This window comes from Homo sapiens, chromosome 1 (assembly GCF_000001405.40).
Source record: "Homo sapiens chromosome 1, GRCh38.p14 Primary Assembly".
NCBI lineage: Eukaryota > Metazoa > Chordata > Mammalia > Primates > Hominidae > Homo > Homo sapiens.
Genome location: NC_000001.11, coordinates 26,077,206 through 26,102,987, shown reverse-complemented (window position 1 = coordinate 26,102,987; position 25,782 = coordinate 26,077,206). Strand labels below are relative to the sequence as shown.

At 45.8% G+C, this 25,782-nt stretch overlaps 2 annotated features.

Moving 5' to 3' along the window:
* Positions 4,736-9,626: an enhancer, noted in NCBI's record as "VISTA enhancer hs2271". NCBI's record gives its function as "enhancer in: heart[3/4]" and the evidence as "EXISTENCE:transgenic organism evidence [ECO:0001131][PMID:17130149]".
* Positions 23,596-23,772: a silencer, noted in NCBI's record as "fragment chr1:26405707-26405883 (GRCh37/hg19 assembly coordinates)". NCBI's record gives its function as "represses an EF-1alpha promoter that drives an FKBP-Casp9 reporter gene in an ReSE screen in K562 erythroleukemia cells {active_cell/tissue: K562}" and the evidence as "EXISTENCE:reporter gene assay evidence [ECO:0000049][PMID:32094911]".

The following is a 25,782-nucleotide window of genomic DNA, read 5'->3' as shown; positions in this document are numbered from 1 at the left end:
ATTCACCCGACTCCTCAGCAGGTCCTGAAGTGTTAAAGCTTCGGCTTCCTCTGATTCTCTGGCCTCTTCTGGATGCTTCATGTTGCAAGAGCAGAAACTCAACTCAAAGTGACTGAAAGGAATGATTGGTACATTTACCTAAGAGAAATGGAGGTGGGAGGGCTAGCTTCGGGAAGGAAGTTTGATTCAGCAGCTCACATGTCACCAAAGACTCTAGTTTCCTCTGTTCTGCCTCCCATGATGCTGCCTTCATCTTAAGGCTGGCTTCCCTTGTGGGCCTCGGGGTCACCAGTGGGAATTCAGCCTTATGAGATCATATCCTGCAGGAATGAGAAAGTCAACTTCTCTATTCCTCAAACAACATTCCTGAAATTAAGTCTTGTTGGACCTGATTGGCTAGGGGCTAGGGAGTAGGGGGTAAGAGATAGGGTTGTGGGCCCCTCCTTGACCAAGCTCTGTGTCCTGAAGGATGGGGCTTACTGGCAGGCTTAAATTCAGAGGCTGGTGGGTGGCTAACAAATGTCTTGACATATACCCCTCTCTTCAGAAGTCAACTAGTGCCTGGCACATGGTGGCACTTTGTTCGTTAAGTCAACAGCTATTTGGTGAATATCCACCACGTGCAAGAAATTGTGCTTGATGCTGAGAAAAAGCAGTGAACAGAAAGATAAGGTCCCTGCCCTCATGGACTTTCTCTGGGAGGGGAGACAGACATATAAATATGCAGACAGTACAATTCAACCAGTGCCAGCTGAGGTTACATAGCCCAGGGGAGGAAATCCAAACTGTGCTTCTGTGGAGGGGAATGGCGGGCAGGAAAGCTTTAGAGAGGAGGTAGCATTTACACTGGGCCTTAAATTTAGCCATTCCACAATGTATTCATATTTCAAAGCATCATGTTGTACATATGAGTAAATAAATACAATTTTTGTCAATTTAAAAAATAAATAGAAATTTGAGGGTCAGAGTGAGACACTCCTTTAAGCTGACATTCTTCAAATATTTGCTCTATGGTTATTTAGAGCAGGGGCTGGGAAGGAGGCACAGATAACCACACTTAGCCTCTCGATGGTCCTGACCTCCTGGACCCTGGACAAACCTGTAGACTCCACAAGGCCCGCTAATTCATGTAGCTGCGAATATTACTTAGGCTGGCCCCTGACCTCCCAGCCCCAAGCCTTATCCACATTTGTCTTCCAACAGTATACAGAACTCTCCTGGAGAGGAGTGCTAGTGAATGGAATATTCTGCAATGTGTATGGGAGCCAAAGTGCCAGGCACCGTGCTAGGCACTGGGGATGTGGCCATGAAGGAAACATACGGCATACACAATGTGTCTTCGTCTGTTCATGCTGCTATAACAAAATACCTTAGACTGGGTAATTTATAAACAACAGAAATTTACTTCCCCCAGTCCTAGAAGCTGGGAAGACCAAGATCAAGGTGCCAGTAGATTCCATCTCTGGTGAGAGCTGCTGTCTCTGCTTCCAAGATGGTGGCTTGGTGCTGCATCCTCACAAGGCAGAAGTGGAAGGGCAAAAAGGGATGAATAGCTCCCTTGCACCCCTTTTATCTTTTTTTTTTTTTTTTTTTGAGACGGATTCGTGCTCTGTTGCCAAGCTAGAGTGCAGTGGCACAATCTCGGCTCACTGCAACCTCCGCCTCCCAGGTTCAAGTGATTCTCCTGCCTCTGCCTCCTGAGTAGCTGGGACTACATGCACGTGCCACCACACCTGGCTAATTTTTTTTTTTTTTTTTTTTTTTTAGTAGAGACGGAGTTTCACCATGTTGGCCAGGATGGTCTCAATCTATTGACCTCGTGATCTGCCTGCCTTGGCCTCACAAAGTGCTGGGATTACAGGCATGAGCCACCGTGCCCGGCCCCTTGCACGCTTTTTATAAGGTCACTAATCCTACCCATGATGGCTCCACCCTCATGACTTAATCACATACTAAAGGTCCTACCTCTTATCACACTAGCAATTCAGTTTTAACATGAATTTTAGGGGGACACATGGAGACCATAGCGCAGTGCCTGTTCTCATGAAACTTGCCTTCTTATTTACACCCACAATGATCATGGAAAGAGACACATAAATACAGTTCTGGAAAGCGCTATGCAGGAGAAGCTCTAGGGCGCATGAGACTTATTAGGAGGCAGGGAGGAGGGAGGTAGTATGGGCCACGGAAAGCCTCTGAGCATATGACAGAGGCCTTTTTTTTTTTTCTTTTTTTTTTTTGGAGACAGTCCCACTCCGTTCCTCAGGCTGGAGTGCAATAGTGCGATCCCAGCTCACTGTAACCTCTGCCTCCCGGGTCAAGTGATTCTCCTGCCTCAGCCTCACAGACAGCTTGGGACTACAGGCACACACCACCACTCCTGGCTAATTTTTTGTATTTTTAGTAGAGACGGGGTTTCGCCATGTTGGCCAGGCTGGTCTTGAACTCCTGGCCTCGAACTCCTGGCCTCAAGTGATCTGCCCGCCTCAGCCTCCCAAAGTGCTGAGATTACAGGCGTGAGGCAATGCACCCAGCCACATGTGACACTTATGCTAAGAAATGACCGAGGGGCAGAAATGAGCTAAGTGAGAAGCGGAGGGAGGAGCATGCTTGGCATTCAGGACGGCCGGTACCAGCTGCTCTATGCAGGCCTCAGCTGGAAGTTTAAATCAAGAGCTGGGGGGAAACGATGGGGAGAGGAAGATACTAGGAAGCTCCATTGTGGGTATAAATACAAGCTTTTGCTTCCAAAGCCCAACTTTATCAGTAATAAGGCCCATATTTTTATCTCTCCATTGCCTTGATTGCCATTGGGATTTCCTAATAGGTCCAGATCCCAACTGGAGGGGGAATAAGTTGTAAGGTTTAGCCTTAAAACCCCTACACAAGCAGGGGTGATATCCTGTAGGGTCTTGTAGATCATGTTATGGATTTGGGCATAAAAGCAACAGGTCAGCAAGGGTCTATTTTTTTTTTAATTGTGGTAAAATAGAGGTAACATAAAATTTGCTGATTTAATCATTTTAACTGTATAGTTCAACGGCATTAAGTACATTTATATTGTTGTGCAACCATCACCACCATCCAGAACTTTTATTTTTATTATTATTGTTTGAGATGAAGTCTTGTTCTGTCTCCCAGGCTGGAGGGCAATGGTGTGATCTCAGCTCACTGCAACCCCCACCTGCCGGTTCACACAATCTTCCCGCCTCAGCCTCCCAAGTAGCTGGGACTATAGGCATGTGCCACCATGTCTGGCTAATTTTTGTATTTTTAGTAGAGACAAGGTCTCACCATGTTGGCCAGGCTGGTCTCGAACTCCTGACCTCAAGTGATCCACCTGCCTCAGCCTCCCAGAATGCTGGGATTACAGGTGTGAACCATCCAGCCCGGACATTCGGGGTTTTTTTATCATCCCAAACTGCAACTCTGTATCCATTAAACAATAACTCTCCATTCCTTCTCTTCCCAGCCCCTGGTAACTGGATAACCACTATTTTACTTTTTTTTTTTTAAGACAGAGTTTCACTCTTTTCTCCCAGGCTGGAGTGCAATGGCGCAATCTCAGCTCACTGCAACCTCCACCTCCCAGGTTCAAGCGACTCTCCTGCCTCAGCCTCCCAAGTAGCTGGGATTATATGTGCCTGCCACCACACCTGGCTAATTTTTTGTATTTTTTGTAGAGATGGGGTTTCACCATGTTGGCCAGGCTGGTCTCGAACTCCTGACCTCAGGTAGATCTGCTAGCCTCGGCCTCCCATAGTGCTGGGATTACAGACATGAGCCACCGCACCCAGCCTCTACTTTCTGTCTCTATAATTTGACTATTCTAGGTACCTCATATGAATAGAATAATTCAGTATTTATTTTTTTGTGTCTGGCTTATTTCACTTAGTGTAAGGTCTCCAAGTTTCACCCATGTTGTAGCATGTGTCAGAATTTCATTCCTCTTTAAGGCTGAACAATATTCCGTTTTGTGTATATACTATATTTTGTTCATCTGTCAACCTGTCAATCACCAAAGAGTTTTAAGTAAAGATTTTATTTATTTTATTTTTATTTTTTTTTGAGGTAGGGTCTTGCTCTTTGCCCAGGCTGTAGTACAGTGACACGATCGCAGTCCACTGCAGCCTTGACTTCCTGGGCTCAAGCGATCCTCCCATCTCAGCTTCCCAAGTAGCTGAGACCACAGGTGCATGCAACCATACCCAGCTAATTATTTGTTTATTTACTTATGTGGAGACATAGTCTTGCTATGTTGCCCAAGCTAAACTTGAACTCCTGGCCTCAAGTGATCCTCCTGCCTTGGCCTCCCAAAGTGTTGGGATTGTAGTTATGAGCCAACACATTCAACTAAGTAGAGACTTTAAACACGCTCATATGTCCAGTTTAAAAGATCACTCTAGGCTGGGTGAGGCGGCTCACACCTGTAATTCCAGCACTTTAGGAGGCCAAGGCAGACAGATCATTTGAGGTCAGGAGTTTGAGACCAGCCTGGCCAACATGGTGAAACTCTGTCTCTACTAAAAGTACAAAAATTAGTCAGGCATGGTGGCACATGCCTGTAATTCCATCTACTCAGGAGGCTGAGGCATGAGAATCACTTGAACCCGAGAGATGGAGATTGCAGTGAGCCGAGATTGTGCCACTGCACTCCAGCCTGGGCAATAGAGTGAAACTCAGTCTCAAAAAACAAAAACAAAAAAAGATCACTCTAGCTGGCAGATGGAGACTGGATCAAGAGTGGGCAAGAGGGCAAGGAGAGATGAATTGCAAAGGTTTAGGCAAGAGATGATAGTGGTCTGGACCAGGCTGTGAATGAGGCGATGGGAAGAAATAGATTTAAGGGCAGGTGGGAGATTGCACAGGATCTGGTGTTTGGAAGTTTGGGGTGGGAAGGAGGAATAGCCAAGGAACTGCTGAACTTAAGGAAAACTTACTGCTCCTTATAGGCTCAGAGCTGAGGAGGTCTTTTGAGCTGAAGATAAGGGTGCCCTCTCTACACATTCCAGGGCTTCCTTCTCTGCTTTCTGACTCAGACTGAGACACCAAGAAATTTTCTGTTGATCATTTGGCTTCCCCTGTGGCTTTCTAACAAGGGGAGGACACACCAGTCTTTTGATATACTCACATTCTTGCATACTTGACAGATAAATTTATCTTTATAAACTCACAGATTGTTATCTGCTTTATGATTGAGTCAGACTCTTTTGGTTCATTATTGTTAGCCCAAGGGTGGATCCTCTCTTAATGTAAACAAAAAGTTAGAGTTTTGACATTGTAAAGTTGAGGCCCAAACTCCCTATTATGGCAACTTCAACAAGAGAGTCTTGTGGATCTTTCTCAAGGCGTTCAGACTTCTCGTGGAGACACCCTTCCAGACCACTGTATTATATGTGAGTATTCAAGCTCAAACAGGGATAGGGAGGTAGACAATTGAGTTGAGCTGGACACTGTAGGGATGCGCTGCACCCATAGCTTGCCCCTCCAGTTACATTCACTGTGGGTGCCACACACTCTTTCAGGAAAGCAATCTGTCGGTATTTACCAAGACGCTTTCAGTAGTCAGTCCTGCTTCTGAGAGTCTATAGCCTAAGGAAGTGATTTAAAATGTGACATTCAATGTAGCATTATTATTATTATTTTTGAGATGGAGTCCCGCTTTGCCGCTCAAGCTGGAGCGCAGTGGCGTGATCTCAGCTCGCTGTAACCTCCGCCTCCCAGATTCAAGCGATTCTCCTGCCTTAGCCTCCTGAATAGCTAGAATTACAGGCGCGTGCCACCATGCCTGGCTTTTTTTTTTTTTTTTTTTTGTATTTTTAGTAGAGACAGAGTTTCACCATGTTAGCCAGGCTGGTCTCAAACTCCCGATCTCAGGTGATTCATCTGCCTCAGCCTCCCAAAGTGCTGGGATTACAGGCGTGAGCCATCGCGCCTGGCCCAAGGTAGCGTTATTGATAACAGTGAGAAACTAAAAGTAAAACGTGTCCAACAACATATCCATAGGATAGAATATTCTGCAGCCATTAGAAAATGGACATTCTCAAAAGAGTGGATCTTGTTCTTAAACAGGTGAAACTAATCTATGTTGATAGAAGCCAGAAGGTTACATGAGGGGAAGAAAAGTAGTTATTGACTGGGAAGGTGAGGAAATCTTCTGGAGCACTGGAAATGTTCTGTATCTTGAGATGGGTGGTGGTTACATGGGTGACTACACACATGAACATTCACTGAACTTCACATTTCACATGTGTGCACTCTACTGTATGAAATTAGGCCTCAGTTTAAAAGAATGAGTTCTAAGACCATGTAGCAATCAATGCCCAGCGGGAAATGTCACCAAGCCCTTGAGAGAAGGGCTTTGTCTGTTCTGTTCCTGGAGAAAAAGGGCTTTGTTCTGTTGGCTGCTGTATACTCAGAGCTTAGAACAATGCTTGGTGCATAGTAGACCCTCAACAAAAACCTACTGAATTATTATAGAAAATGCTTAGGATAAAACGTTAAATGAAAAAAAAGTCCCAAAGTTACACAACTCTTTTTATTTATTTTTTTCTTTGGATGCAGAGTCTCACTCTGTCACCCACGCTGGAGTGCAATGGCGCAATCTTGGCTCACTGCAACCTCCGCCTCCCTGGTTCAAGTGATTCTCCTGCCTCAGCCTCCCAAGTAGCTGGGATTACAGGCTTGTACCACCACACCCAGCTAACTTTTGTAGTGGAGAGGGGGTTTTGTCATGTTAGCCAGGCTGGTCTCAAACTCTTGGTTTCAAGTAATCCTCCCACCTCAGCCTCCCAAAGTGCTGAGATTACAGGCGTGAGCCACCATGCCCAGCCAAAGTTTTACAACTTTTAAGCGTATGATGGTTACGATGTTATAAAAATGATGAACAGGAAAAAATCTAAAGGAAATAGAGTGAAATGGGGTTGGTGGTTGTGCTGAGTGGTGTAGGTATAGGAGACAGTTTTTTATTTTATTTTATTTTATTTTATTTTATTTTATTTTATTTTATTTATTTTTTGAGACGGAGTCTCACTCTGTCCTCCAGGCTGGAGTGCAGTGGCGCGATCTTGGCTCAGTGCAACCACCGCCTCCCAGGTTCAAGCGATTCTCCTGCCTCAGCCTCCCGAGTAGCTGGGATTACAGGCATGTGCCACTGCTCCGGGCTAATTTTTTTGTATTTTTAGTAGAAATGGGGTTTCACCATGTTAGCCAGGATGGTCTCAATCTCCTGACTTCGTGATCCACCTGCCTTGGCCTCCCAAAGTGCTGGGATTACAGGCATGAACCACCGCGTCTGGCCAGGGGACTGTTTTTGAAAATTTCTTTGATGGATGCCTTCTCTCCATTCTATCCATGATTCTGTATGTAACTTCATTTGGAAACAGCAGCTAACACTGAGAGAGTGCTTATTCTGTGCCAGGCTTCACACTTACAGAAATATCTACTTTACATTTATCAACTCATTGCATTTTTGCAAAAATCTTATGAAGTAGTTATTTATCCCTATCTTACAGACAGAGAAACTGAGGCACAGAGAGGTTAAGGAACCTGCCCAAGGTTAGGCAGCATTAAGTGGCGGCCCTGGGAGGGTGGCCGCCCAGCAGGAATCTTGCTCCAGGGGCTGCAGGCTTAACCATTATGCCTCACTGCCACTCAGATGCCAAGGTGCAAAGCCTAAATTTGAGGCCTCTGTGACTGAGAGCCTCGGACAAATGGGCTGCTCTGCTCTCCTCCCGCTGTGATTTTCCCTATTTCCTGGGAGACTCCAAATGTCAAGCACCTGAAAGGAGGGGAGGAGCGATGGATGGAGAACCAGGGACCAGAGGAGAGGAGGTGGGCAGAGGTGGAAAGGCCCTGCCTGCTCCAAGCACAACCTCACCTTCCCTGGGCAGAAACAGATGTTCCTGTTACCCGATTCCTCGCTTTAGAAGCCTGGGGAGGGCCCTTCTCCCAGGCTGGCCCTGCCCCTGCCCCCTGGGGCCATCACGAGGCCTGGGCCAACAGCCCTGATCTTGCTGTTCATCCACCGGAAAGGCGGCTTCCTGGAAGCTCGTCCCCTCCCTCTCTGCCGCATCCTAGTCCACTCTGTTCCTGGAAGTTGAAGAAACCAGGCACAGAACTTCCCTTGCGCACCAGCCAGCCGGAGCAGCGTGCCTCCCTCTGGCTCTCACCACCCACTAGGGGGGAGAAGACGAGGGTTTGGTTCTGCTGGAGGATAGGATTTGAGTTTCTCTCTGCGGCTCACTTGCTGTGCGTCCTGCGGCAAATTACTTGACCTCTCACAAGCCTCAGTTGTTTCATATATGAAATGGAGATACTAAAAGTACCTGAAGGGATGGCTGTAGGATTGAATGCAACAATGTGGGTGACGCATTTGGCACGGTGGCCTGGCACCTTACAGCACTCAAAACAGGGTAGCTATGGTTACTATTATTATCCTGCCACCCTCATTCTCTTCAGGGGCACTGAGGGGTTGGAGAGATGGCTGAGAAGGCATGCAGATGCCTTGGCTCCAGTAGGAAACGCCTTTCTTATCAGCATAGACGTCAGAGTCTGTCAGAGTCGAGTTATTAATACCCAGCCAGCCCACCAGCTTTGCATTTAGCATTCCGAGGTGGAGAGGTGGGGAGGGGAGGGCTAGGAAACAGGTGGCCAGGGCAGGAGAAGGAGCCGCTGGCCTCCCTTGCCATGGGAGCAGTCCTTCCCAGCCCCAGCAGGCAGTACTTGGCGCCTTCTCTGCCAGACACCCTCCACCTGCACTCTAAGGTCTGGGAAGGTGTGAAATTCCTGCATGAAGTCAAACGCCAGGCTGTCATCTCCTCAGTCCCCTACGGGCACAGCACTGTCCTTCCAGGGATCCAAAGCCCAAAAGAGCAGCGCTCCCAGAAGGAACAGATCCAGGCATGGAACAGAGGACCCTCAAAACTGGAAGGGGGCTTAAAGGACTCCCATCTGCCTTGGGGGTTTAGACACAGCGTCTGGACTCAGGCAGACCTGAGTGATGGGGAAAATCTACATCCTTCAGCCTGTTTCCTCAGCGGTTAACTGGGAATAATACTAAGTTTGAACCCTTTGTTTGAAATGTTTGTTCCTCGGTGCAGTAAAGAAATAGCACTTGGACATAAATTTAATTTATTTAGTAAGGCCATTTTTACTTCACACTCTCCAGCAGTTCTGCCACGAGAGTACACCGAACAAAGGAGACAGGGTCATTTATAACCTGATGCGTCCACCCTACTGCTGTGTCCGGTTTCCATTGGCTGGAACCTGACCTCACATTCTGTATTTGTCCCTATTGGCTAGAGACTTACAACTTTTTAAAAGAGGCAAAGGTAGAGGGGAACAAAGGAAGGAGGAAGTAACTTATGGAATGCTGAGAAAGGTAAAAACACTTTTAAATAAGGAAGAGGAACAGGCTATGACCTAATGCTTGCTTGGACCAGTATAAGCATGCCAGGGCAAATATTTAGGCTAAATTGTGGAAGCTAAGAACATAAAGTATATTGATTTCTTTATTATGGCTAGCAGATATTTAAGAATGTTAGCACAGGTCTTTGAATAAATTTTGCTTCTAAGAGAAGTTACTATTTATTCCTAATTAGATGGGGAGGAAAGTCTTTGAAGAGGAACCTCTACTTTACTTTTTACACCTTCCATGTATGAAAGGAAAATAAGATCTTGGGACCCCCAACTCACGGTGCCAAAAGGGAAAGTTAAGTTTGGAAACTGAGTCACACATAAACAATTGCCTTTCCTTCTCTTCTTAAATAGGTATCTCCCCAGGTGACCTCCCTCACCCTGACAATGTAAATGAGCATCTTATCTTGATGGGTATGGGACAAGAGGAGACTAGAAATAGTCCCACCGCCCACCCCAGAGGAATGCGTATTTGACTTCTTCCTCTGCTGTGTGTTTATCTTATGTAAAGTGTAGATTTACTGAGCACGTTGAGCATGAGAGGAATACATAATTTTTGTTTGTTTGTTTGTTTGTTTTTGAGATGGAGTCTTACTCTGTTGCGCAGGCTGGAGTGCGGTGGTGCGATCTCGGCTCACTACAACCTGCACCTCCCGGGTTCAAGTGATTCTCCTGCCTCAGCCTCCCGAGTAGCTGGGATTACAGGCATGCGCCACCATGCCCCACTAATTTTTGTATTTTTAGTAGAGACAGGGTTCACCATGTTGGCCAGGCTGGTCCCGAACCTCTGATCTCAGGTGATCCGCCCATCTCGCCCTCCCAAAGTGCTAGGATTACAGGCATGAGCCACTACACTCGCACCCAGCCGGAATACAGACTGTTCCTCTACCCCCTCCTTTTCACATGCAACATGTGGATTCAGTGAGGGCTCAGCAAAGCCTCAGAACAATGTAACCAGACTTGTCTCATTTTTTCTACCCTCCCTTTTTTTTTCTTTCCTCCTTCCTCTCCAGCTCAACGTTGGGAAAATAAACCTCTAAACTGATGGAGACCTGTCTTAGACACTCTTCTCGGTTTACACATGCAATAGGAACATTTTCATTTGGCTGTTGAAAGGACAAATGAAATAATTCCTAAAAGCACAGGGATTAGCGTACAGCAAGTGTCTGGGAAGTAGTGGGTGTTGGTATCCCAACTCCTCATTTTACACACAACTTCCCATTTTGTTCTTCCCCAGGGAAGCCGTGGCAGATCTTAAGGAACAAAGATCTTCCAGGAATTTTTCATTCTTCCACCTGAGCTAACAAATTATACCAGACAATGCTTCTTTGTTTTCTTAAAACAAAGAAAAAATATTTTAAAAATTGATTTAAAAAAAGTAATACCCTTTATTTTTTACAGCAGTTTTTAGGTTCACAGCAAAATCGAGAGGAAGGTACAGAGATACCCCATAGAGCCCTGGCCCCTACACATGCACAGCCTCCCCGACTATCAACATCCCCCACAAGAGCGGTACCTTGGTTTTTTTGTTTTTGTGTTTTTTGAGACAGTCTCGCTCTGTCGCCCAGGCTGGAGTGCAGTAGCCCAATCTCGGCTCATTGCCACCTCCCCCTCCCAGGTTCAAGCGATTCTCCTGTCTCAGCCTCCCAAGTAGCTGGGATTACAGACACCCACCACCACGCCCGGCTAAATTTTGTATTTTTAGTAGAGACAACGTTTTGCACGGTGGCCAGTGTGGTCTTGAATTTCTGACCTTAGGTGATCAGAGCGGTACCTTTGTTACAATTGATAAACCTATGTGGACACAGCACTATCACCCCAACCCAGAGTTTACATTAATGGTCACTCGGTGTTGTACATTCTTGGAGTTTGGACAAATGTATAGTGACATGTATTTACCACTTCAGTACCATACAGACTAATTTCACTCCCATAAAAATCCTCTGTGCTCTGCCAATTCATCCCTTCCTCCCTGCTTACCACTGACCACTAATTTTTTTTTTTTCTTTTTTTGAGATAAGAGTCTCACTCGCTCTGTCGCCCAGGCTGGAGTGCAGTGGCATGATCTTGGCTCACTGCAACCTCTGCCTCCTGGGTTCAAACAACTGTCCTGCTTCAGCCTCCTGAGTAGCTGGGATTACAGGCGTGTGCCACCATGCCTGGCTAATTTTTGTATTTTTTAGTAGAGATGGGGTTTCACATGTTGGCCAGGCTGGTCTTAAACTCCTGAGCTCAAGTAATCCATCTGCCTCGGCCTCCCAAAGTGCTGGGATTACAGACGTGAGCTACCGCACCTGGCCAATCACTAATTTTTTAATTGTCTCCATAGTTTTACCTTTTCCAGAATGTCATATAGTTGGAATCATACAGTATGTCAGCCTTTTCAGATGGTCTTCTTTCACTTAATTATATGCATTTAAGTTTCCTCTATGTCTTTCCATCACTTGTTAGCTCGTTTCTTTTTAGTGCAGAGTACTATTCCACTGTCTGGATGTACCACAGTTTATTTATCCATTCACCTGCTGAAGAACACCTTGGTTGCTTCCAAGTTTTGGCAATTATGAATAAAGCTGCTATAAACATTCCTGTGTAAGTTTTTGTGTGAACATAAGTTTTCAGCTCTTTTGAGTAAATACCAAGCAGTGTGATCACTGGCTAGTATGGTAAGAGTGTGTTTAGTTTTGTAAGAAACTGTCAAACTGTCTTCCAAGTGGCTGTACCATTTTGCATTCCCACCAGCAATGAATGAGAGTTACTGTTGTTCCACAGCCTTGTCAGCATTTGGTGGTGTCAGTGTTCTGGATTTTGGCTAATCTAGTTGGTATTTCATTCTAGTAGTGGCGTTTCGTTGTTGTGTTAATTTGCAATTCCCTAATGACACATGATGTTGAGCATATTTTCATGTGTTTATTTGCCATTCGTTTATCTTCTTTGGTGAAGTGTCTGTCCAGATCTTTTGTCCATGTTTTTTTTTTTCTCTTGTTTTGTTTTGTTTTGTTTTGTTTGAGACGGAGTCTTTTTCTGTTGCCCAGGCTGGAGTGCAATGGTGCCATCTCGGATCACTGCAAACTCCACCTCCCAGATTCAAATGATTCTCCTGTCTCAGCCTCCTGAGTAGCTGGGTTACAGGCGCCCACCACCACACCCAACTAATTTTTGTATTTTTAGTAGAAACGGAGTTTTACCATGTTGGCCAGGCTGGTCTCGAACTCCTGACCTTGTGATCAGTCCACCTCGGCCTCCCAAAGTGCTGGGATTACAGGCATGAGCCAGCAAGCCCAGCCTTGTCCATGTTTTAATTGAGTCATTTGTTTTCTTTTTCTTTTCTTTTTTTTTTTTTTTGAGACGGAGTCTCGTTCTGTCGCCCAAGCTAGAGTGCAGTGGCGCCATCTCGGCTCACTGCAAGCTCCACCTTCCAGGTTCATGCCATTCTCCTGCCTCAGCCTCCCGAGTAGCTGGGACTACATGCGCCCGCCACCACGCGCAGCTAATTTTTTGTATTTTTAGTAGAGACGGGGTTTCACCGTGTTAGCCAGGATGGTCTCAATCCCCTGACCTCGTGATCCACCCACCTTAGCCTCCTAAAGTGCTGGGATTACAGGCTTGAGCCACTGTGCCCGGCCCATTTGTTTTCTTATTGTTGAGTTTTAAGGGTTCTTTGTATATGTTGAATAATAGTCCTTTATTAGATGTGTCTTTTGCAAATATTTTCTCCCAGTCTGTTGACTTGGCTTGTCATTATCCTGACTGATTTTTATTAATGGCTCAGTGTTTCTTTTCCTCTGTTACCAAAAAGTAAGTGTTCTGACCAGGCGTAGTGGCTCACACCTGTAATCCCAGCACTTTGCGAGGCTGAGGTGGGTGGATCACTTGAGGTCAGGAGTTAGAGACCAGCAACATGGTGAGACGCCTGTCTCTACTAAAAATATAAAAATTAGCCGTGTGTGGTGGTGTGTGCCTGTCATTCCAGCTACTTGGGAGGCTGAGGCACGTGAATCTCTTGAACCTGGGAGGTGGAGGTTGCAGTGAGCCAAGATTGCACCACTGCACTCCAGCCTGGGCATCAGAGTGAGACTCCATCTCAAAAAAAAAAATTAAAAATTAAAAAATAGGTGTTCTTAAAAGTATGTATCGTATGAACAGCAGAAAGGCTTGACTTTGCCAGTGCTCTTGCCTGTGGAGAACCCCACATTTGGCAGGTATAGCAGGTGATGTGACATCCTGCATGTTCAGGATTGTGGCCCAGAGAGGGAGTGTGACTCACTTGAGATTGCACAGCATGTTCACTAAGATAATACATTCTTCTCACACGCATAGCCTTCGTAGTAATCAGAGAACTCTTATTTGGTTTGTATGAGACTCCTGGAATATTTCTTCTTTCTTCTGTACTTTAAAAAAGTTGCAAAAAGAAAAATGTAACAACAGCAGATTTTTTTGGAAAAGGACAAGAAAACCAAAACACCCATAATCACAGCACCTCAATAACTGACTGTTTCACTTTTCTCAGGATGTTATCTATCTGGCAAAGGTTGGGACCAGGTGAGCCCACGTATTGTAATAGTTGTCATCTTAGTGTATCTTATGCTTTTTTGTTTTACTTTTTTTTTTTTTTTGAGATGGAGTTTTGCTCTTGTTGCCCAGGCTGGAGTGCAATGGCGCATGTCGGCTCACTGCAACCTCTACCTCCCACATTCAAGCGATTCTCCTGTCTCAGCCTCCCGAGTAGCTGGGATTACAGGCATCCGCCACCACACCTGGCTAATTTTGTATTTTTAGTAGAGACGGGGTTTCTCCATGTTGTTCAGGCTGGTCTCTAACTCCCGACCTCAGGTGATCCGCCCGCCTCGGCCTCCCAAAGTGCTGGAGTTACTGGCGTGAGACACCGCACCCGGCCTTGTTTTACTTTTTTCCAGGTCTCAATACAATATATTAGAATGGCTGCATAACCCTTGGGGCTCTCTCTGGAGTGTCCTTCCCCAAGGTTGTCACTCAGTCAGCTCTTCCACAACATCCAAGTCTCAGATCGACTGTCGCCTCCTCAGGGGGCCTTCCTTGAACATCATATCTAAAGCATCCAAGGCAGTCTCCCTGAATGAAAGTCTCTCTCCATCCTATTACTCTACTTTATATATTTATATTTACATATACACACACATATATATTATATACACATACATATTTTATATATATATATTTGGGTTTTTTTTTTTTGGTAGAGATCGGGCCTTGCTGTGTTGCCCAGGCTGGTCTTAAATTTTTGGACTCAAGCGATACCCCCATCTCAGCCTCTCAAACTGCTGGGATTATAGGTATGAGCCACCACACCCAACCAACTAACTTTCTTTCTTTCTTTCTGTCTTTCTTTCTTTCTTTCTTAGAATACTTTATTATTGTTATTTTTTATAGAGACAGGGTCTAGCTATGTTGCACAGGCTGGAGTGCTGTGGAACCATCATAGCTCACTTCAGCCTCGAACTCCTGAACTCCTTCTCCCTCAGCCTTCCAAGTAGCTGGGACTACAAGCGTGTGCCACCATGCCCAGCTAAATTTTAAATTTTTTGTAGAGACAGGATGTCTCTATGTTGTCCAGGCTGGTCTCTAACTCCTGGGCCCAAGTGATCCTCCCACCTCGGCCTCCTACAGTGCTGGGATTGCAGGCATGAGCCATTGCTCCCAGTCGATTCTGGTTTCTTTTCTTTTTATTTTGGGGACAGAGTTTAACTCTGTCACACAGGTTGGAGTGCAGTGGTGTGATCTCGGCTCACTGCAACCTCCGCCCCCCGGGGTCAAGGGATTCTCCTGAATCAGCCTCCTAAGTAGCTGGGACTACAGGCATGCACCACCACGCCCAGCTAATTTTTTGTATATTTAGTAGAGACAGGGTTTTGCCATGTTGCCCAGGCTGGTCGCGAACTCCTGAGCTCAGGCAATCTGCCAACCTTGGCCTCCCAAAGTGCTAGGATTACAGGCATGAGCCATCGTGCCTGGCCTGGTTTATTTTCTTGATAGCATTTATTACATCAGAAATTATCTTTGTTTTTAAAAATCTGTCTTCTCCTGCCAAAATATAAGCTCCCTGGGGAGAAAAGGGAGCTTTTCTCTCTTGCTTTCTCTGTATCTCCAGTGCCTAGAACTGTGCCTGGCATGTAGTAGGTGCTCAACAGATAATTATTTTATCAACTTGAGAATTCAGCAGACCAGCCGGGCTCAAAGTGGCTCACGCCTGTAATCCCAGCACTTTGGGAGGCCGAGGTGGGTGGATCACCTGAGGTCAGGAGTTCGAGACCAGCCTGGCCAACATGGTGAAACCCCATCTCTACTAAAGATACAAAAATTAGCCAGGTGTAGTGGTGGGCACCTGTAATCCCAGCTACTTGGGAGGCTGAGGCAGGAGAATTGCTTGAACCCGGGAGGCGGAGGCTGCAGTGAGCCAAGATCGAGCCATTGCATTCCAGCCAGGGTGACAGAGTGAGACTCTGTCTCAAAAAAAAAAAAAAAAAAAAAAAAAGAGAATTCAGCAGACCACAGTTTACCTAGTTGGTCATTGAATATCCTTTTTAAAAATAGCTTATTAGCTGATGCTGCAATAGATGTCTTGGGGAGTCATTATATCAAGGAGTTTTGGAAGGAGGTTTTGGCAAAAGACGTGGGTTCCTCTCTCACCTCTGTCATTTACTAACTTTGTGATGTTGGGCAGTATATTTAACTTCTCTGAATCTCAGTTTCCTTATTTGAAATGAGGGTAATATTAGTGCCTACCTCAAAGGGTTATTGTGAGGTAAATAAAAGGAAAACAAAATTAAATAAAAATAATGCATGTAAAGAGAGTACTTAGCACAATGCCCATGAAACAGGAGCAACCCATCCCAGCATGTTCTCTGTGCCGGGCACTGCTCTAAGTATTTCCCACATGTCTCATGTAATCGTCAAAATCATCTTTTTTTGTTGATTACACAACAATGCTTATTTTGTGAAAATTTATTCAGCTACACATTTAATCATGTACAATTTGGTATTTGGATTACAGTCAGTAAAAGGTTTACTTAACAACAACAACAACAAAAGCTCTACGAGGAAGGAAACTTTATCATTCCCATTTTATAGATGAGGAAACTGAATCTCAAAGAAGTTAAATCATTGGCTCAAGATACAGTACAGCCAGGTGCAGTGGCTCATGCCTGTACTCTCGACTACCCAGAAGGCTAAGGTGGGAGGATTGCTTGAGCCCAGGAGGCAGAGGTTTGCATGAGTTGAGATCGTGCCATTTCACTCCAGCCTGGGTGACAGAGCAAGGAAAACAAAAAAGATCGGCCGAGCGTGGTGGCTCACGCCTATAATCCCAGCACTTTGGGAGGCCGAAGCAGGTGGATCACCTGAAGTCAGAGGTTCAAGACCAGCCTGGCCAACATGGTGAAACCCTGTCTCTACTAAAAATACAAAATTAGCCGGGTGTGGTGGCATATGCTTATAAATAATCCCAGCTACCTGGGAGGCTGAGGCAGGAGAATCATTTGAACCTGGGAGGCAAAGGTTGCAGTGAGCTGAGATTGCGCCATTGCACTCCGGCCTGGGCAACAGAGTGAGACTCCATTTCAAACAAACAAACAAACAAACTAAAAGATCATACAGTAAGTGGTGGGGCTGTGGGTCCAGAGCCTGTGTGCGTAACCACAGCTCTGAACCACAGCTGCTCACTGCCAGATCCATTTAAGCACTCATTACACAGTAGCTTTTTATTATTATTAACATTTAACATTTTTGTTGTTTCAAAAGCTTTTTTCTATTTTAAATAATACTTCAGGGTATATCTTTGGCCATTTCTGGCTTTTCTCTGGTTTTGAATGATTTCCTTTGGATGCAATACCGAGGATAGAATTAACTGGGGAAAATAGGTTCCAGAGAGTTGATATGACTTACTCAAGGTAAGTAGTGGTGCTTGGAGTAGGGCCACCATGTACAGTTGTATAGATTATTCATTTCACTTGATCTGGGGGTGAGTGGGCTTCCCAGGGGAGCTCAGCCTTGGGCAGGGCTTGAATGGGCAGAGGAGAGAGGGTATTCCAAGTAGGGGACCATAGAAGGGGAGAACGGGGAGGGTGCAATGGAGAAATAGTGGGAAATCAATTCCAACGGATCAGACAGTTGGAGACAGGATTTTAGGAGACAGCTGGGACTGGATCATTCATTCATTCCATAAACACGCTAAGCTGCATTGTATGCCAGGCGCTATTCCAGGAGCTGTAGATAGCAGTGAACAAGCTCATCCAATCCCTGCATTCATGGAGCAGATACTGTCTTGGGCGGAGGGTGGGGACAAACAACTGACAAAGAAATTGGGTAAAATATAGATTGTGATAAATATTGAGAAAGAACCAAGCACCAAGCAGGTGCTCAATCCAGGAGTAATGGGACGGGGCCTATCTAAATAGAGTGGTTAAAGAAGGCTTCTTTGAAGAGGTGACATCTCAGCTGAGGAGGAAATGACTATTCTAGGCAGATCACACAGCATGTGCAAAGGCCAGGAGGTAGGATGCTGCAGAGACGGCATTCAAAGCCATGCAGAAGAGGGTCTTGAGGGGTTGTAAGTTTAGAAGTCATTTCAGACAGCCTTGAGCAAAGGATTCTTTCCTCACAACCCCATCCCAGCTTTTTTCTTTTTCTCTCTCTCTTTCTTTTGGAGACTGGGTCTCACTCTGTTGCCCAGGCTGGAGTGCAGCAGTGTGATCTCAGGTCACTGCAATCCCCGCTTCCTGGGCTCAACCAATGCTCTCACCTCTGCCCCTGCAAAGTAGCTGGGACCATAGGTGTGCACCACCATGCCCGGCTAATTTTTGCATTTTTTGTAGAGACGAGGTTTCGCCATGTTGCCCAGGTTGGTCTCAAACTCCTGAACTCAAATGATCCTCCCGCCTCAGCCTCCCAATGTGCCGAGATTACAGATGCGAGCCACTGCGCCCAGCCTCCAGTCTGATCTTTCTTCTGAGTTCAGCTGTACTTTTCCATCTGCCTGCTGGTTGACCCATAGAACAGTCACCTCAAAGTCATGTGTTCTTCCCAAACAGCTCTCCACCTCCCATCTCCTTCTAAATCTCTACACTCTCCCTTGACTGTTGCTGAGCACCTTGAATCTCCCTTCCTCATTCTCTCACTTCTGTCTCTTCCTTGGCCACCTTCCTAGACCAGGGAGGCAGCCAAGTACCATAGTGTGATAGGATCACACGCAAGCACTTTGAAAGTACTCAGACCTGGGCTCAAATCCCAGCTCTGCCATTCAGTTCATTTCACAGGGTCTGGGTTTATTGGTCTGTGTAGGGAAGTTGTGCCTTGCTGGTGGCTGAAGAGTAAGTGAGATGATGTTGGAGGTGACAACAGCTGGCACACAGTAGGTATTTGATGAGTGACAGTGCCTTGCCCTTTCCCTACCAATCTTGGGGAACTGTCTTGTTTTCCTCATAGCTTGGCTCGTTCTACTTAGGAAGCAGAGAGGTAGTTGAAGTTCTTGGGTAATCATTGACTCTCAAAATATCTCTCTGGGGGAACCAAGATCTCCAATATCCCTTTTCAAAGTATTTTAAACAGTTAGCTTAATTTGCAATCATAATGCTATCATTAACTGAGTGTTTATTACCTGTCAGTTACTTTGCTAAGTGCTTTATGTATTTTGTCTTCTTTCATCCTCATGACAACTCTATGAAAAAAGTTCCATTATCGTCTCCATTTTATAGTTCAGGAAACTGAGGCTCAGAAAAATGAATTGACTGGCTTAAAGTCACATAGCTAGTTAAAGGATGAAACTGGGACTTGAACCTACATTTATCTGGCACCAAAAACCTGAGTGCCTGATCACTAGACCATCCTGCCTCACAGCCTATCTGGCCAAAGTAGGGAGAGTCAACATGTTTCATTTCCTGCATGGCTAGAAGCTCAGAAAAGTGAGAGGTTTGTTCAGAGTCCCATAATGGACTGGACACTAAGCCAGGGTATGGTGGGTCTGGCCCCAGGTCCCAAACCTGCCCCAGCAGAGAAAACTGGGAGGTCTGAGACTTCAGGGCAGCTTGGACCTTCCTCCTAGAGCTGGACTGCCTCCCCAGAGCAACCGAGCCATAAACACAAGCAGCTCTTTCAACACGACACTGAGCCTGAGTCACTGAGTATTTATAGATGGGCCTCTTCTCCTCGCCTCAGCTTTGCCAGGATTTATCAGGTTCACCTGGGGTTTGGAGGGTGACAACCTGTTTATCATCCAAGGTGCCCAAGCAGGATGTTGGGACATTCTCCGAGAACGAGATCTGGAGTCCTGCCTGTGTTTAGACCTGGCCTGACCCCCCACACCCAGACTGAGGCAATTCTCCCTATCCAAGGTGTGCCCTCTTCTACCAAATACTCCCCATGCTTACCCCATCACAACCTTATATACCTAGGGAATTCATGGTCTCAGGTTAAAATGGGACAGAAATGCTGCTTCTTTCAGGAAGACATCCTGGATTGATCTAGGAAGGTTAAAAACTTTCCCTAACCCCACTGCTCTGAGGGAGTAAACTCTCTCATTGGTCAGATAATTAAATTAATCATAATAACATTTGCTAAGACTGGGAGGACAAGGTAGGAGGATTGCTTGAGGGCAAGAGTTCGAGACCAGCCTGGTTACATAGAGAGACCCTGTCTCTACAAAAAAAAATAAAAAGAATTACCCGGGTGTGGTGGCACATGCCTGTAGTCCCAGCTACTCAGAGGCTGAGGCAGGAGGATCACTTGAGCCCGGGAGGTTGAGGCTGCAGTGAGCTGTGACTGCATCACTGCACTTCAGCCTGGACAACAGAGACAGAGAGAGAGAGAGAGAGAGAGAGAGAGAGAGAGAGAGAGAGAGCCTGTCTCAAAAAAAAGTAAAACAAACATTTTCTAAGGACATTCTATGTGCCAGATACTATGCTAAGACTTTTAACATTACCTTTTTGTTTTTTTTTTTAAAGATGGGGTCTTGCTGTGTTGCCCAGGCTGGAGTGCAGTGGTGCAATGACAGCTCACTACAGCCTCAAACTCCTGGGCTCAAGCGATCCTCCCGCTTCAGCCCCCTGAGCAGCTTGAATTACAGGTGTGTGCCACAGCACTCAGATTAACGTTATCTTTTTGAATCCTCACAATTTTATAAGTTAAATATTAATTTAACATCATCTTTATAGATAAGGAAACTGAGGCTCACAGAGGTAAAGTAACTTGCCCAAGCCACACGGCTTTCCTCCTAGTAAGTAGCAGGACTGTGCTCAAAATCTACGTTTTCCTTGGTTCAGTGGTCCAAGCTGTAGGTGACCTTGGACAAGTTACTTCACCTCTGAACTCAGTTTATCTGTAAAACAGAGACATTAATACCGACAGTTGTACAGACTGAATAAACCCAGTACACAGTAGGCTCCCAACTGCTGACTGCTGTCCCACACCTGATAAATTTGTTTGTTCTAAGTTGCTTAGGACAATCAGCCAGGCCACATCTGGCTCAACTCTGGGGACTTGAACCTGGGACCCAGGCTGTTCCAGCCACCCCTGCTCCTCTGCCCCTACTCTTTCCATCTCCTTAATAGCCATCATGTCCTGAGTGACTCAGAACACAGGGGCGGGGTGGGTGAAGGGGGCTGGGGAAAGTAGGGTGGTGAGTGAATAGGGGGATTGGGGGTGGTTGTGTACAGAGGCACAGTAGATAGACCTGGCTCTCGCTCCTGGGATCTATTTTGGATGGGGCCAGCCTCCAGGCTGCTGGAAGCTGGAGGTGGAGGTCAGTGCTGAGTTAACGGAGCGGCTCTTGGAGCCAGATTTAGTGGTTGAGTTCTGACCACAGAGGGTGGCTTAGCTGCGGGCACTGGGCCAAAGCCACTTCTGTGATTCCTGCCGTGGGGTTCTGGGTCTTTGTACAGGGCACCATGCTCCTTTCTACTGTCTTTACCACACCCTCCCCAGCCCAGTACAGAGCCTCTAACTTGAGATTCAAACAGATTTGGGATCAAGGCCTGGCTGTTCCACCTACTAACAGTATGACCTTGGTGTCCTGAGGGTTTTGATGATTAATTGGGGTGTCCAGATAGGGCTGTCTTCCCCCCACTTCCCCCAACACCACTGGGGCCCATGAGGCCAGGGCTAATTCTCCTGTCTTCATCCTACCTCTCAGGGTCCATTCCCCCGGCCTTGACCTGGCTGTTCCAGGGCCCCCAGGGCTCGCCTTGCATGGTGCTTCCAGAAACTCTGATCCTAAGTGGCCCCTGGCCTACCCAGGGCTGTGCCAGGGCCCAGCTCTGACAGAGGTGAGGGCCCAGTTCTGCTCAGCTGTAGCTCAAGTTTCCTGCTGGGCCTCGTTAAATGGGCTTATTAAGGAGCCTTTAGAGGGCCTCATTAAGGAGCCCTGGCTCCTAGTTTTTAACAGTTTGGAGATTTCTTTCCATCCATTTTCTATGCCTGTACCACATATTTGTTACATACGTTTATTTAGATACCCATGTATAATATTTTTTAGAAGAATAGGATCAGATTATATTTAATAGGCGTGTGTTTTTCTGTTTGTGCCTAACAATATATTGCTGACATCTTTTGATATTGGTATTCAATATGGAAAGCTCAATGTCCATTGTTTTAAAATTGGAGGAATATTTATGTATATATATAAGCATTTATTTTTCTGCATGGACATTTGGAATGCTTATTGGGGTATGCTTTTTGTTGTTGTTATTGTTTAGTAAACTTTTTCTTCAAGTATAATATACATTCAGAAAAGTACACATTGCAATCCCAGCACTTTGGGAGGCTGAGGTGGGTGGATCACTTGAGGTCAGGAGTTTGAGACCAGCCTGGCCAACATGGTGAAACCCCATCTCTACCAAGCAATACAAAAATGAGCCTGTAGGTCCAGCTACTCGGGAGGCTGAGGCGGGAGAATTGGTTGAACCTGGGAGGTGGAGGTTGCAGTGAGCCGAGATTGCGTCACTGCATTCCAGCCTGGGTGACAAGAGTGAAACCCTGTCTCAAAAAAACAAAATAAGTACACAATTCCTAAGTGTACAATTCAAGGCATTTTCACAGAGTGAGTATACCTGCATCACCCACACCCAGGTCAAGAAACAGGCCATCACCAGCACTCGCAGGGGCTCCATGCTTCCTTCTGGCCTCCTCAAGGATAACCACCATCCTGAATGCTGACAGCTCAGATTCGTTTTGCCTTTTTCAAAGTTTATATAAACAGAATTATACAGGATGTCCTCTTTTGCTTGACATTCTATTTATGAGCTTCCCTCATGTTGTTACGTGTGGCAAGATTTGTTTATTCTAATTCTGTATAATATTCCACTAGGTGACTATACGGCAATTTATTTATTTGTCCCATTGATGGACATTTGGGCTGTTTCCAAGGTTTTGCTACTGCAAACAAAATTGCAAAAACGTCCTGGTGTGTAAATAGCTCTCTATATCTGCATATCTGTATCTATCTATCTAATTATATCTTTCTGTTATCTTTCTAGTCTTTTGATAAGATAGAGTCCTCAGAATATAATTGCTGAGTCACATGTATGTATTGTTAACATTTTTCTTTGTCAGATTGCACTCTCCTGCTCCCCCAGGGCCAAGAGCAGTGCCAGTGCCCATGTCCCTACCCCTCACCGAGCTTGGATATTATTAATCTTTAATACTTTTGTCTATTGGATCAAAGAAAAATCAGATTTTATTGTGGTTTTAATGTGATATTTTTAAATTAGTGGGGATAAGCACTTTTTTTCGCTTTTGTTTTTGGGGACATTGACATTTATTCTTCTGTGAATTGCCATTTTATATCTTTTGCTTATTCTTAAAATTTTAACGTATTATGGATTTTGACATTTGGTCTTTTCATGTTTCTAGTGTTTTCCCCCCACCAGCTTTGTTTGTGAAGCAACTGCTGTTTTAAATATAGTTTGTTTTCCTCCTGCTCACTGTTTATGATCTGGATAGTCCCTGAGGGTGTGTGTGGCAAACCCCAGGTTCAAGCTGTGGGGGTGGGGAGCGGCAGGCCAGGTGGGGTGGGCAGCTGAGCCCCCAAGACTGTCTCCCAGGGGTATAAACAAAGGAACATCTGGGCCAGCACTGAATCCTTGGACTTGGAGTTTGCCCCAGAGGCTTCCCCCAGTCCTGTTTCCAAGTCTTCCCAGTGGCACGTAGGGCCTCACTGTCAGTGAAAAGAGCCTCTCACCCAGCAAACGGGCCAGGCGGGAATCAGGGGGCGCCAGGGCCTGTGTTTGTCCCGGAGAAAGAGGGAAAGGTTAAGAACAAGGGCTAAACAGTCAGCGCTCTGAAGTCAAATCCTGAACCCTCTGAGTGCAAAGCCTCATGAGTCTGCTAAAATCCCACAGCTTGGGTGGCTTAAACAACAGAAATTTACTTCTCACAGTTCTGGAGGCTGGCAAGTCCAAGATCTAGGTGATTTTATTCTGAGTTCTCTTCTCTTGCCTTGTAGGTAGCTACCCTCTTGCTATGTGTTCACATGGTCTTACCTTGGTGTGTATGCATAGAGAATGGGAGAGAGAGGCAACCGCCCAACAGGTTCACCTTGCCCACTGCCTAGGCAGAGACAATTTATCAAGACAGGGGAATTGCAATGGAGAAAGAATAATTCATGCAAAGTCGGCTGTGTGGGAGGCTGGAGTTTTATTGTTACTCATATCAGTCTCCCCAAGCATTCGGGGATCGGAGTTTTTAAAGATAATTTGGTGAGTAGGGGCTCCGGAAGTGGGGAGTGCTGATTGGTCAGGTTGGAGATGGAATCATAGAGGGGGTCAAAGTCAAGTTTTCTTGCTGTCCTCAGTTCCTGGATAAGATCGCAGAACTGGTTGAGTCAGATTACTGGCCTGGGTGGTGTCAGCTGATCCATCAAGTGCGGGATCTGCAAAATATCTTAAGCACTGATCTTAGGTTTTACAATAGTGATGTCCCCAGGAGCAATTTGGGGGAGGTTCAGACTTGGAGTCAGAGGCTGCATGACCCCTAAACCATAATTTCTAATCTTGTAGCTAATTTGTTAGTCCTACAAAAGCAGACTGGTCCCAACAGAAGAAGGGGGTCTTTTCAGGAAAGGGCTATTATCAATTTTGTTTCAGAGTCAAACTAAATTCCTCCCTAGGTTAGTTTGGCTTAAGCCCAGAAATGAACAAGGACTGCTTAAAGGTTAGAAACAAGACGGAGTTGGTTAGATCTGAAATCTTTCACTGTCATAGTTTCCTCAGTTATAATTTTTGCAAAGGCAGTTTCAGAGAGACATAGAGACAGCCACAGAAACAGAGAGAGAAGAAAGGAGAGCAAGCTTTCTTGTGTCTCTTTTCTTTTTTTTAAAGATGGGTCTCTCTCCGTGGCCCAGGCTGGAGAGCAGTGGTGTGATCATAGCTCACTGCAGCAGCCTTCAGCTCCTGGGCTCAAGAAATTCTCCCGCCTCAGCCTCCCAAGTAGCTGGGACTACAGGTGTGTGGCATTACACCCAGCTAATTTTTTTTTTTTTTTTTTTTTTGGTAGAGACAAGGTCTGTTCTATTGCCCAGGCTGGTCTTGAACTCCTGGGCTCAAGTGATCCTTCCACCTTGACCTCCCAAAGTGCTGGAATTACAGGTGTGAGCCACCGTGCCCATCTGCCCATCTGCTCAGCTGCCCAGCCTTATGTCTCTTCTTATAAGGGCACTAATCCCACTGGACCTACTTTCATGAACTCATCTAACCCTAATTACCTCCTAAAGGCCCCATCTTCAAATACCTTCACATTTGGGGTTAGGGCTTCCACATGTGAATTTTGGGGGAACACAAGTATTCAGTCCATCACAACACCCCAGTCCATTTCCTAGAAGTGTAACCTTAAGCAAGTCACCTAATCTCTGTGTGACTCAGTTTTCTCATCTGTAAAATGGGGATGGTAGTGGTATCAATGTCATGAATTAACACATGAATTAATACCTATAAAACACTTAGAACAGACTGTGATAGCCTCCAAGATACAGCTCAATAATTCTTGCCTCCTGGTAATCAGGTCCTGTGCAGTTGCCTCCCGTACTGTATCAGGGTTGGTCTGTGTGTCCAGTAGAATACAATGGAAATGATAGTGTGTGACTTCTGGGGCTAGGTCATAAAAGATAGTACCACTTTTGTCTTGCTCTTTTGGATCACTTGCCCTGGGGGAAGCCAGTGCCATGTTATAAGGATGCTCAAGCAGCCCTATGGAGAGGTATGTGTACTGAGGAACTGAGGCCTCCCACCAATTTGCCAACCATGAGTGTGCCATCTTGGTAGTGGATCCTCCAGCTCCAGTCAAGCATTCTGCTAAACTCAACTGCAGCCCCAGCCTATATATATATATATATATATATATATATAT